The 12,732-nt window shown below is 53.5% G+C and overlaps 1 pseudogene, besides 1 other annotated feature; it reads left to right on the forward strand.

The window, feature by feature from the left end:
* TXNP4 (thioredoxin pseudogene 4) lies at positions 1,588-2,076 on the forward strand (annotated as a pseudogene).
* Positions 11,692-12,265: an enhancer, noted in NCBI's record as "H3K4me1 hESC enhancer chr17:4485577-4486150 (GRCh37/hg19 assembly coordinates)". NCBI's record gives its function as "activates a minimal SCP1, AML or CMV promoter by ChIP-STARR-seq in naive H9 embryonic stem cells {active_cell/tissue: H9 hESC(naive)}" and the evidence as "EXISTENCE:reporter gene assay evidence [ECO:0000049][PMID:30033119]".

The raw sequence follows: 12,732 nt of genomic DNA on the forward strand, positions 1-12,732 counted from the left end.
CCAGGACTTGGATTTTAAAAATCCGATTTATTGAGGTATTTATATATATATATATATATATATTTTTTTTTTTTTTTGAGACGGGGTCTTGCTCTGTCACCCAGTCTGGAGTGCAGTGGCACAATCTCGGCTCACTGCAACCTTCGCCTCCCGGGTTCAAGCAATTCTCCTGCCTCAGCCTCACAAGTAGCTGGGACTACAGGCGCCCACCGCCAAGCCCAGCTAATTTTTGTATTTTTAGTAGAGACAGGGTTTCACCATATTGGCCAGGCTGGTCTCGAGCTCCTGACCTCGTGATCCACCCACCTCAGCCTCCCAAAGTGCTGGGATTACAGGCATGAGCCACCGCGCCCAGCTGAGGTATAATTTACATAAAGTAAAAGTCACCAATTTTTGTGTATATTGCCAGCAACTGACACCACAATTAAGACAACAAAGGAACCGATTGCTCCCGCAGCCAACACTATAGTTCACCATGGAGGACCCCGTGGATAGTTCCAAGCCTCCCTCTGCATGACCATTTCCTGGGCGGAAGTCCTTTGAGCTAAGTGGGAAATTTGGGCAGTACCCAACCTATGTAGATGAACCACATCCTGGCACTGGGGAAGTGGAAAATTTAGAGCACCCAAATTGATGCTCGATCCAACCCATTGATCACACCTCATCCCATCACAGCAAGTTAGGTGTTTCTCTGCTTTTTGTCTGAGGTGTTAACGTGAGAATCTCTTATCTGTAGGACTCTCCAGGGAGTTGTATCTTATGATTCCAGTAGTGGAAAGAACAAAATCAAAACACTGTATGGCGAAATCCTCAACGGGAAGGACCTGGAATTCACATCCTTCGAGATATCATCTGTACCTCAGCACTGTTGTGACCCGGTGGGCAACATAGTAGCAGGGTCGAGGGACAAAATGCATGCTAATAGTCTCTAGGCTCAAAAATGATTCAAGACCCTGATGGTGTCTCTCCAACGACCAACACACAGGGATGGTGCCAACCTGTCACTCAATGACAACGCAGGGCTGGTGACTAACTGGTTTAATTCGAGACCGTGGGTCGGACCACTTGTCTGTGCTTTGATAATGGAGAATTTGAGTCCCTGGAAAAAGCTACTCGACCAGGTTAGACTAGTGGCTGGTAGAGTGCGAATGACAACATGCTATACCATCAAGATGTTCCTGGATCAGTGTACTGACCGATCTATTGCACTACTGTCAGTTGTAACCAAGATTGTTGTATTCGAGGAGAAAGACACTTGCCTGGAAAACACACGGAAAGTTTTTTGAGTATGGGGGAGCCCTGCACCACCCCATTATGATTTGAGGTCTCTCCTCGGATGCTCCCAAATCTGGCAACGGCGGCAAACTATTGGGCTGAAAGACTCAATCCAGTGTATTCTGGATTTAAGGCTCATGACATAATGCCCGGAGCGAATATCACACTTCCACTTACTCAGATGGCTGCCTCTCACTGAGTGTCAAGAGGAACAGGGACGGGCATATGGTCACTCCAGCTTTGAACATCCTAAAGAATTATGGGGTAACAGGCTACAAATGAATACGGTCAGTTCCCTATTAAAAAAAAAAAAGCCGCTCCTCAGACCTCAGCAGCCAAGATGGTGAAGGAGATCGAGAGCAAACTTGCTTTTTAGGAAGCCTTGGATGCCACAGGCGATAAACTTGTAATAGTTGACTTCTCGGCCACGTGGTGTGGGCCTTGCAAAATGATCAAGCCTTTCTTTATCCCCTCTCTGGAAAGTATTCCAGCGTGGTATTCCTTGAAGTAGATGTGGATGACTGTCAGGATGTTGCTTCAGAGTGTGAAGCCGAATGCATGCCAACATTCCAGTGTTTTAAGAAGGGACAAAAGGTGGGTGAATTTTCTGGAGCCCATAAGGAAAAGCTTGAAGCCACCATTCATGAATTAGTCTAATCGTGTTTTCTGAAAACATAACCAGCCATTGGCTATTTAAAACTTGTAATTTTTTTAATTTACAAAAAAATATAAAGCATGAAGACTATAAACTCAAATACCATCTGGGTGACAATAAAACATTATTTCTAACACTTTAAAAAAAGACAAAGACCATTTCCAACAACCAAGCATTTTCCTAGTACCCCTTTGCTCCACCCCTCACCTCTGCTCCTTGACAACCACTCATCTGATTTTGATCCCTATATGTTGCTGTTTACCTAAGAAATCATGTTTTGAGGACTTATATATTGTAAATGGAATCATACCAGATGTACTTGTTCATATCTGGCTTCTTTCACTTAGCATGAAGACTTTGAGAAGCATCCATGTCATTGCGTGCATCCGTTTTTTCTTTTCATTGCTAAGTAGTGTTTATTGTATCTATGTACCACAATGTATCGATTCACCCATGGATGTAGACTGGATGGTTTCCAATTGTTTACTATAATGAATATAGGCATTATAAGCATTTGTGTACAAGGCTTTGTGGGGAGGTATGTTTTCATTCTTCTTGGATAAATATCTGAGTGAGATTGCCAGGTCATATGGTAAGTATATGGTTAACTCAGCAAGAAACCACCAAATTATTTTCCAAAATAACTCTGCCATTTTGCTTTCCCACCAGCGTTGGATGAACGTTCAGTTGCTCTATATTCTTGGCAACACTTAAGTATTGTCAGTTTTTAAGGTTGTGCGTGTGTGTGTGTATGTGTGTGTGTATATGTGTGTGTGTGTGTATGTTTATGTGTGTGTGTGTATATGTGTGTGTGTGTGTGTGTGTGTGTGTGTATGTGTGTGTGTGTAGTGGCATCTCATTATCGTTTTAGTTTCCATTTCCCTAATGTCTAATGATATTGGACATCATTTTATTCACTTATTGCCACTCATATATCTTCTTTGCTGAAGTGTCTGTTGAAATCTCTTGCCCATTAAAAAATCAGGTGATTTTGTTACTGAGGTGTTGTTATTGTTGTTATTGTTCTTTTTAGACAGAGTCTCACTCTTGTCACTCAGGCTGGAATGCATTGGCGCCATCCCGGCTCACTGCAACCTCCGCCTCCTGGGTTCAAGCGATTCTCCTGCCTCAGCCTCCTGGTTGTGAGGTTGTCTGGAGAGTCTGTAAAAACCAAGGCCATCTGTTGGTGGCCTCAGCTTGGTTCATATTGGGCTGGGCTCCAGACAGAGGTTTCCTCAGAAGTGTCTACTATGGGGCTCCACCTCATGTGAGTGATGCATTTCTGGGAAAGTCCCTGTGAGCTTGGTGGCTCTGCTGAGCCACAGGCACGTGGCGTGGTCTTTGCCATGACCTTGGAGAGGAGGCGTAGGCACTCTGGCTCATGCTCACTAACTGGCAGCGTGGGTCCCAGTGCCAGCCAGGCTCAGGCCCCAGTCCTGCTCGGCATCTACACCGTGGCCCATCCCCTCCAACTTCAGCTCTGCTGTCTTCCCCGCCCCCAGAGACTGCCAGCACCAGCTCCTGTCTCCCCTGCCTGCTCCTGTCTCCTTTCTCTTAAGGAGAAATCTCCATTTTTGGTCTACAAAACTGTCTGTCTTTTGTTATTGATCATGTTTGTGTCATTATTACTTTTTAAAAGATCTCATGTCTATATGTTTGAAGCAGAAGGAGATGGTTTGAACTATCTCAATCAGAAACATTGTAACTTATCTACGTGTGTGATACCGCTGCTGTTACGAACTAAATTTTGTTCCACAAGCAGATCCGCAGAAATGCACATACCCCGGAGCTGTGTGTTATTCTTCAACTTGCATTAAAACAACTCACATCAAGCCTGTTTGGACCTGTTGGTGACCAAGGTCCAGCTCAGCCTGGGGCAACAGGACAAAGGTGAAAGCAACCTCTAGTTTTTATTAAGAGTCAATTTTAAACATATATGCATATTCATTCATTTTCTTGTGTGTGTGTGTGTGTGTGTGTGTGTGTGATCACTATGTAGCAGACATAAGGGCCTTCGTAAGGGACTTACAGACATAAGCCAATTTAATCCTCATAACAATCCTAGGATGCAGATACTGTTATTATGATCCCCATTTTACAGATAAGGAAACTGAGGCCCAAGGAGTGGTGAGCCATGACTGGGATCCAGAGTCCCGCGGATCTCTCTGCTGTGTGTGCACCTGTGTGCCCTCGTGCCTTAGCTTGCATACAAGGGTGGGGGACATGAAGTCCACGCTACCTCTGACAGTGGCGTGCTTGTCCACAGCCAAGAGTGGAAGGGGGAAGGACAGGAGAGTGGCAGACTCAGGGCCTGGCTTGGGGACACCAGCCCTCTGACCCAGACATGCTCTGCCCACTTCCCCCTGCCTACTCACTAGATTCAGACGCAAGAGTCCGAGACTGCCAAGGAGGCCTGGCTGCAGCAGGGTCAATGGGGTCTCTCTCCCACTCTCTCCCATCCCCAGCCCACCATCAGGACCAATCTGTTCCCTGCAGGCTGTAGGGACCAGGGCCTGGCGAGGAGGGAGATATGTGAAGACAGCTACCTCCTTAGAGGAGAGGGCTACCATGCCACCTCACTGCGGTTCTTTATGTCTAGAGACACAGCAAGATAGAGAGAATACGGGATACAGGACCCAGGAGAGAACAAAGAATACAGAGGAATACAGAAATACGGGCTGGTGGCTCATGCCTGTAATCCCAGCACTTTGGGAGGCCGAGGGGGGTGGATCACTTGAGCTCGGAAGTTCGAGACCAGCCTGGCCAACATGGCGAAACCCGTCTCTACTAAAAATACAAAAAAAAAAAAAGAAAAAGAAAGAAGAAAATAAAAATTAGCCAGGAGTGATGGTGGGCACTTGTTGTCCCAGCTACTCAGGAGGCTGATTCAGGAGAATTGCTTGAACCCGGGAGGCGGAGGTTGCAGTGAGCAGAGATTGTGCCACTGCACTCCAGCCCGGGTGACAGAGCGGGACCCTTGTCTCCAAAAAAAAAAACAAAAAAAATACAGAGAGCCAAGATGGAGAGGAGCAAAGACAGAGAAACAGAGACTGGGAGGTGGAGGGAAGTACCTGGAGGGCATCTGAAAGTGAGCCTGTCGGGAGAGGGAGCTGGGGTGAGTCAAAGCTGGTACAGGAGGTGGCCGTGCAAGGAACGAGTCCCCGGCCATGGGGGGTTAGAGCTCTGGGGAGTCCGAGTCAAAAAGGCCTGGAGCCAGGGGTTCCTCCCACCACCCGTGCGGCCCGGTATCAGGTGGGGCTGGGCTGGGGCTGGAGTAAGCGTGCATATTGTATCTAGTCCCTCCTGGCTGCTGGCCTGGTGTCCCTGGATCTGGGGATAGGCGCCCGGCCTCGTGGTGCCCTCCTCCTGCATGGGCCAGTTGGCTCCACCCTCCCGGTGCCAGTGTCAGGTTCCAGGCTGTTCCCCGGGGGAACTTTGATCTGGAAAGAATGAGGGTGACCGATCTGGCTGCTGCACAGGGCCGAGCCGTGTCACCGAGACCTGGCCTGAGCTGCCCCTGCCACTTTCCCGCCCACTGGGACACCAAGCGGTTACCCTGGGCTCAGGAGACACAGAGGGGGTCTTTCCTGCTTCCCTTCCCTCCCTTCTCCTCTTCATCATCCATTGTTTATTCAGCAATTCACTCATTCATCAAGTATTGGCTGATGGAGTGGGGGTGAGTGATGGGGACAGAGGGACAAGGAGACAGGGTCCTGCCCTTTAGAGAGCCCCTCACCTGATAGGGGGGCAGGTGGCCCACACAGACACACCCTAAACAGAGACCACTGCTTGAGAAACACAAGCCCTGCTTTGGAGGAGGAAGATGGGGAGTGCGAGGAGGGATGTGTCCTAGTGGGCACCGTGCAGGGTTAGTGGAGGTAAGGAGGTAAGGACAGGCTTTATCAGGGAGGGCTTCCCGGAGAAGGGGGTGGTTAAGCTGGACCCCGATCTGGAGGATGAGCAGGGATGTGTCCGTTTGAGAAGTAGAAGGCCAGGCACAATCACAGAAGCACGAAAGAGTTTTGTGTTTGTGTGTTTGTGGGCGGCAGCGGCTGAGAAAGGGGGGTTGGAGAGGTGGGTGGGGGGCTGGTTAGGAAGGGCCTTGAATGGCCCCCTCAGGCGTTCCCCTGTTGGCGAGGGGACCCATGAGTCAGGGGTAGGGGTCCTAGCTGGGACAGGTTGTCAAATCAAGACACAGCTGGGGGCTATAGGGGAAGCGGCAGCTTGATGGCACCTCCGGGCCTTGCCGAGGAGGGGCTGGTGCCTCCGAGACCTCCCCCGCCAGCCCCAGCCCCAGTTAGTCTCCACGGTACTTTTGAGGAAGCCCCGCTGATCTATGGGCTGCAGCGGCTCCAGTGGGCTCCAGGCCCAGGGCTCAGCCCAGCCCCTGCCTTGGCCTGGCCTCCCCACCCCCACTGCCCACTCTGACTGACGCAGCCTTTTGCTGGGCTGAAAGCAGACACTGCCTGTGAGGCCCCTGGGGAAGGCCCAGGGGGCAGAGCCCCGGAGCTCGGGCTCCTCTTGTCCTGAAGGCTGCTGAGCCGGGGCCTATGAATAACCCCTCCCCCGGCCCCGTCTCTGAGAAGGGGGAAGGGAGGCAGGCCCAGGCCAGGCTGAAGGCACCAGGTCTTTTGGTGGGAAGCTGTGGAGGGGGTGAGGGAAGAAGGGGACAGGGCCCACGGTTGGAGATCCTCTGGGCTGGAGCAGTCAAGCTCCACAGGGAGAGTGCGTGCAGGGACTGTTGTTGTAAGAGGAGCGGCCAGTCCTCCTTCCTCCCATCTCTGGGTGGGTTTCCGGAGGTCCAAGAGTCCGGATATGAGCTCTGAGGGCCACCCAGGCTGGGCCTGGCCTGCCCCCAGAGACCCCCTCTTCAATTCCCAGTGGCCCAGGACAAACTTGTCCCTGCTTTGCCTGAAGACCTTAAACATGTGCCTGTTCTTCCTGGACTCAGTCTCCCCTCCTGGCTTTGCAGTTTTCAGGGTGGGAGCTGAGTGGGTCAGTGTAGAGCCCTCTCCAGGCCATGGGGCCAGGGCTTAGGGGCTGGGACCCAAGGGGGAGGATCCTGGAAATGGAAAATCTGAGCCCAACAGCCTTATCTGGGCTGGAAGCAGCTGTCTCCACCCCACACCCTGCGCAGCCCCCGCCTCTTGGGGGAGGACAGCAGCCCCTCTGTGCAGGAATAGGTGGTGTTTGTTCAACGGGTAGCCTGGGCCTCCGCAGAGGCCTGTGGGAAATTCTTCCTTAGTGGGGTCAAGAGGTTGGTGCAGGAGGGCAAGAAACTCTGCTCACTCTCTTCTTTCCCCACATCACAGCCATCCTGATTTTTTTTTTTAGATGGAGTCTGGATCTGTCATCCAGGCTGGAGTGCACTGCAACCTCCACTTCCCCAGTTCAAACGATTCTCGTGCCTCAGCCTCCCAAGTAGCTGGGATTACAGGCGCATGCCACCACGCCCAGCTAATTTTTTGCATTTTTAGTAGAGATGGATTTTCTTCTTTCTTTTTTTTTTTTTTTTTCCTGTTTAACAAAGCACATCTTGCACCGCCCTTAATCCATTTAACCCTGAGTGGACACAGCACATGTTTCAGAGAGCACAGGGTTGGGGGTAAGGTCACAGATCAACAGGATCCCAAGGCAGAAGAATTTTTCTTAGTACAGAACAAAATGAAGTCTCCCATATCTACTTCTTTCTACACAGACACGGCAACCAACCGATTTCTCAATCTTTTCCCCACTTTTCCCCCTTTTCTATTCCACAAAACTGCCATTGTCATCCTGGCCCGTTCTCAATGAGCTGTTGGGTACACCTCCCAGACGGGGTGGTGGCCGGGCAGAGGGGCTCCTCACTTCCCAGTAGGGGCGGCCAGGCAGAGGCGCCCCTCACCTCCCGGACGGGGCAGCTGGCCGGGCGGGGGGCTGACCCCCTCACCTCCCTCCCGGACAGGGTGGCTGCCGGGCGGAGACGCTCCCCACCTCCCGGATGGGGTGGCTGCGGGGCGGAGGGGCTCCTCACCTCTCATACGGGGTGGCTGCCGGGCAGAGGGTCTCCTCACTTCCCAGACAGGGCGGCCGGGCAGAGACGCTCCTCACCTCCCAGACGGGGTGGCAGCCGTGCAGAGGCTGCACTCTGGGCACTTTGGGAGGCCAAGGCAGGCGGCTGGGAGGTGGAGGTTGTAGCGAGCCGAGATCACGCCACTGCACTCCAGCCTGGGCACCATTGAGCACTGAGTGAACCAGACACCGTCTGCAATCCCGGCACCTCGGGAGGCCGAGGCTGGCGGATCACTCGCGGTTAGGAGCTGGAGACCAGCCCGGCCAACACAGCGAAACCCGTCTCCACCAAAAAAATACGAAAACCAGTCAGGCGTGGCGGCGCGTGCCTGCAATCGCAGGCACTCGGCAGGGTGAGGCAGGAGAACCAGGCAGGGAGGTTGCAGTGAGCCGAGATGGCAGCAGCACAGTCCAGCTTCGGCTCGGCATGAGAGGGAGACCGTGGAAAGAGAGGGAGAGGGAGACCATCGGGAGAGGGAGACCATGGGGAGAGGGAGAGGGAGAGGGAGAGGGAGACGGAGACGGAGACGGAGACGGAGATGGAGCCCTTTTTTTTTTTTTTTTTTTTTTTTTGAGATGGAGTCTTGCTCTGTTGCCCTGGCTGGAGTGCAGTGGCGTGATCTCTGCTCACTGCAACCTCCGCCTCCTGGGTTCAAGCTATTTTCCTGTCTCAGCCTCCTGAGTAGCTGGGATTACAGGCACACGCCACCATGCCTGGCTAATTTTTGTATTATTTTAGTGGAGACAGGGTTTCAACATGTTGGCCAAGCTGGTCTCAAGCTCCTAACCTCAGGTGATTCGCCCACCTTGGCCTCCCAAAGTGCTGGGATTACAGGCGTGAGCCACCTTGTCCAGCCATATGCTGAGAATTTTAGCAGATCCCAAAGCAGCCAGGATCTGCCTCTTCTAGAGGCCTACTTCTGATTAGAGTGAGCCAGAACTGGGGCATGTGATATACGTGTTCAAACTCATGCTCACACAACATTATACCTGCAAACATTTAATATATGGAAGCATGTGTACACATGTGACACATGTACAAGCATGTGGACAGTATCAGCTGCATAGGACACGTCCTGATGTCTACACTGACACAGGTACTGGAGGCATATATACGTATGTGTGCATATAAACACATTCCCTACCTACAAGCAAGCGCATTGAAAAACCCTCCTGTAAACACGGGTACTTACAAATGTGCACATACTCCACACACCACCTATCCTCGCCGGTAAGGAGTATAAACACCTGAACTCCCAGCTCTTTCCTCTACACAGACACACCCACACATGCACATGCAAGCATCACACATGCCCAGACGCATCCTCAGGTACACGGGAAAGAGATGAGCATTGAAAGGTAGACGTGTGTCTGGCAGAATGTCTGCTGGGATGGAGGGACGGCATTTAAAGGAGGGTTTGGTGGAGCGGAGTTGAAGTTATCCAGAGGGCAGGAGGGTCCCAGGATCAGCCCCTGTGGCTCCGCTTCAGGCAGACAGAGCTGTGGGTCTAGGGCAGAGACCCATGCATCCCTCTCCTGGGCACTGCCCTGGGACCCAGCTGGAGATAAGACTTGGAGGCTCCAAGACGTGCCCAGCATGGGGCCCCCACTCCTGCACAGCCTCCACCAAGTTCTCTACCTCCCTCTTTATCGCTCTTCTTGGCTCCTGAATCCAGCAACCTGGCAGGAAAAGATAAATCTAAGCCCTGTGTTCCCACCCCTATGGATCTCATAACAAGGCAACAGTTTCCAGGGCAGAGGCTGGATTTCAGGATTTGGGAGGAGGAGGGGTAATGGCGTGTTTGCCAGGGTGGTGGGGTCCAGTCCTAGAGTGCACGTCTCCTCTGAGGCCTCATTAGCTTGCTCCCTGTGGGTGCCTGTGGCTGCAGACCACGACGAGTCAGAGGGTATGGCAGGATGCACACACCTTCCTGATTGTGACCTTGATGGCCAGGCCGGCTAGCTGCCCCACACAGTGAGACCTCCGTGGGGGTGTGCCAGGGCCAAGAAGGGCCTGACCCTCCAACCTGACTCCTTCCTGGTGGAGGGGCTTGGAGGGATCCCCAGTGAGGTGTGCAGCTGCCTTTGACCCAGTGAGGAGGCTGATGCGAGCTTGTAGACAGGCCGGGGAGCCCCACAGCTCACTATCCCTCTAACGCACCTTCTCTGAGACCCATTTTATTTTATTATTGTATTTCATTTTGAGACGGAGTCTCACTCTGTCACCCAGGCTGGAGTGCAGTGGCATGATCTCAGCTCACTGCAACCTCTGCCTCCTGAGTTCAAGCAGTTCTCCTGCCTCAGCCTCCTGAGTAGCTGGGATTACAGGCACACACCACCATGCTTGGCTAATTTTTATATTTTTAGTAGAGACAGCGTTTTGCCATGTTGGCCAGGCTGGTCTCGAACTCCTGACCTCAGGTGATCTGCCCACCTCAGCCTCCCAAAGGAGGGATCCACGCCTGGGATTACATGCGTGAGCCACTGCACCCAGCCTCTGTGACCCATTCTAATGAATGGTACCTCCATATCCCCAAGTCAGAATTTGGGAGCCATCCTTGCCTCTCTCCCTCCCTCATTCTCCATTGTCCATCCATCCAGCATCCTATCGGTTCCACTGACTCCAGTGAGTCCCCTTTTCCAAGAGGACCCAACTAACACATGTTTATTGAGCCATTACTAAAGCCAGCTGCTGCCCCAGGTGTGGGGACAGCCTAATGGCTGAGACAGCTCCTGCTCTCCAGGGATGGAGTCCAATGCGTGACCGTGTGTGTGTGTGTGTGTGTGTGTGTGTGTGTGTGTGTGTGTGTGCACCATGCATGTGGACCTGGGGTGCAGAGGGCTGGAGGGGTGGCGCCAGGCAGGTGGACAGAGCCCACTCCCACCTCAGTTGGGGGATTCAGCCGTCCCACTCCTTCTGTCCTTTCCCCACGCTGTAAGCCCTGCTTGTGTTCCCTCAGACCTGAGGAGTCTGGAGAGTGTGTGGGAAGTTCAGGGGAGAGGCTGGGGGCAGGCGGAGAAGTGGGAGTCGTCGGCACTGAGGTGCAAGCAGTGTGCAGGTGTGGGGGTGAGTGAGACCACCCAGGCAGGTGTGCAGGTGAGAGGGAGGAGGCCCAGCTCAGAGCCCTGGGGACCACCTCAGTGAAGGGAGGAGCAGAAGCACAGTCAGGAAGGTCACTGGGGAGGGAAAGAGGAGAATCACGTAAGTGAGGAGGAGGAGGGAGTGGTCCTGGGGGGTCTCGAGGGCCATGGGGGGCACTGGAGACCTCTGAGGAGCAATTTCAGGGGAGTAAGGCCTCCGGCCAATCCGGGGAGCAGGGAGGAGCTGCTCTGACCTGGTGGAACCTGACTGCTGTACTGGGAGGTGAGCTGGGACTGGCGTGCAGGAAAGAGGGTACTGCACCTTGGGTGTGGGGGCAGGGCCCAGGTTCCAGTACTGTCTCCGCATGCCTTGCTGTGTGGCCTTGGGCCAGTCCCTGCCCCTCTTAGGGCCTCAGTTTCCCCGCCTCAGGCCCAAAGATGGTAACTTCCCTAACTGTGGATTTGATTTTGTGAGACATTGGCAGGGGGGCTGGGGAAAGCTTGTCCTGCATCCTGCATCCAGCCTAGACTCAGAGCAGAGCAGGACGACGGTGGGCAGCAGTAGGGGCAGAGCCAGGAGACTGGAGTGGGAAGGGCAGGCGCCAGGGCCCCCAGGCCTTGGTGGGAGGTTGGCCTCCACTTGCTTGCTGACATCAGGGCTGGTGAATGTGCAGGGAGTCCAGCCAGGTTCACGGGCCCTCACCTCCCTCGCAGCCTGGTACTGGGCAGGAGTGGAGCTAAAGGAGAGTGGGGGAGGGGCCTGCAGGGAAGGCTCACAGGAGCCCCTGGGCCTGGGAACAGAGCTGCAGCCTCGGTCCATCTGTCATGGAGCCAGGTCGGAGGGTGGTGCTGACCCTCCATCCCGCCCCCTTCCCACCCCAGAATCACTCTCTTCCTCATGCTCCTGGCTCTTCTCTCCTCTCCTGGGTGCATCTCCAGCTACTGACTCGGAGATCTGACTGCTGAGAAAAAGGAGCCAAGGGGGATGGTCTTGTACCATCTGCCTTCCCAGAACCCACAGTGAGCCCCCATCTCTGCCCTTGACAGAGTCCCGCCTTCGGCCCCAGAAGCAGCCATGCCCCGTCCCCGAGAAGTTCCTCCTAGAGATTCCCATGTGGCTCAGGAGAGACCAGATAACTAGCCTGAGGCTGGAGAGTGTGGATGGATCCCAGGCAGCCACAGGCTCTACGATCTGTCACCTCCTCCTCCCTGCCAGGCTTCCCACCAATGGCCCAGCCAGCCTGCCTTCTCCCGGAGGATGGAGAGAAGCCTAGAGACCAGCCTGTCCAGTCCCTCTCAAGGCTTCTCCACACGGTCCTTCCTTGGATCTTAGAAGGGAAGGGACTGGGCTTCTGTGGCTGAGACCAGGGTTTTTGAACTCCAGGTTCTTGTGCTGAGACCTGGAGGGGCTTTGAGTGCTGTCTGCGGCAAGAGCAGCAGCAGCGTCTCTGGAGGCTGCTACTAAAGATTCCACCTGGAGAAAGCATTCAGGGAGCAGTTTGGCTCACCCTGTCCAGATGGCTACCTGGAATGCACACACATGCTCACACATATATGCAGCATGCACACCTTTTGGCATTTGCCTTTTTCATGAAATAATTGCTGGAAGGCTCCTTGGATTAGGTAACCCAGCGTTCCTTCCTGTCCCCTTGGGGCTGGGGGCGGGGGAG

This window comes from Homo sapiens, chromosome 17 (genome assembly GCF_000001405.40).
Source record: "Homo sapiens chromosome 17, GRCh38.p14 Primary Assembly".
Lineage (NCBI taxonomy): Eukaryota > Metazoa > Chordata > Mammalia > Primates > Hominidae > Homo > Homo sapiens.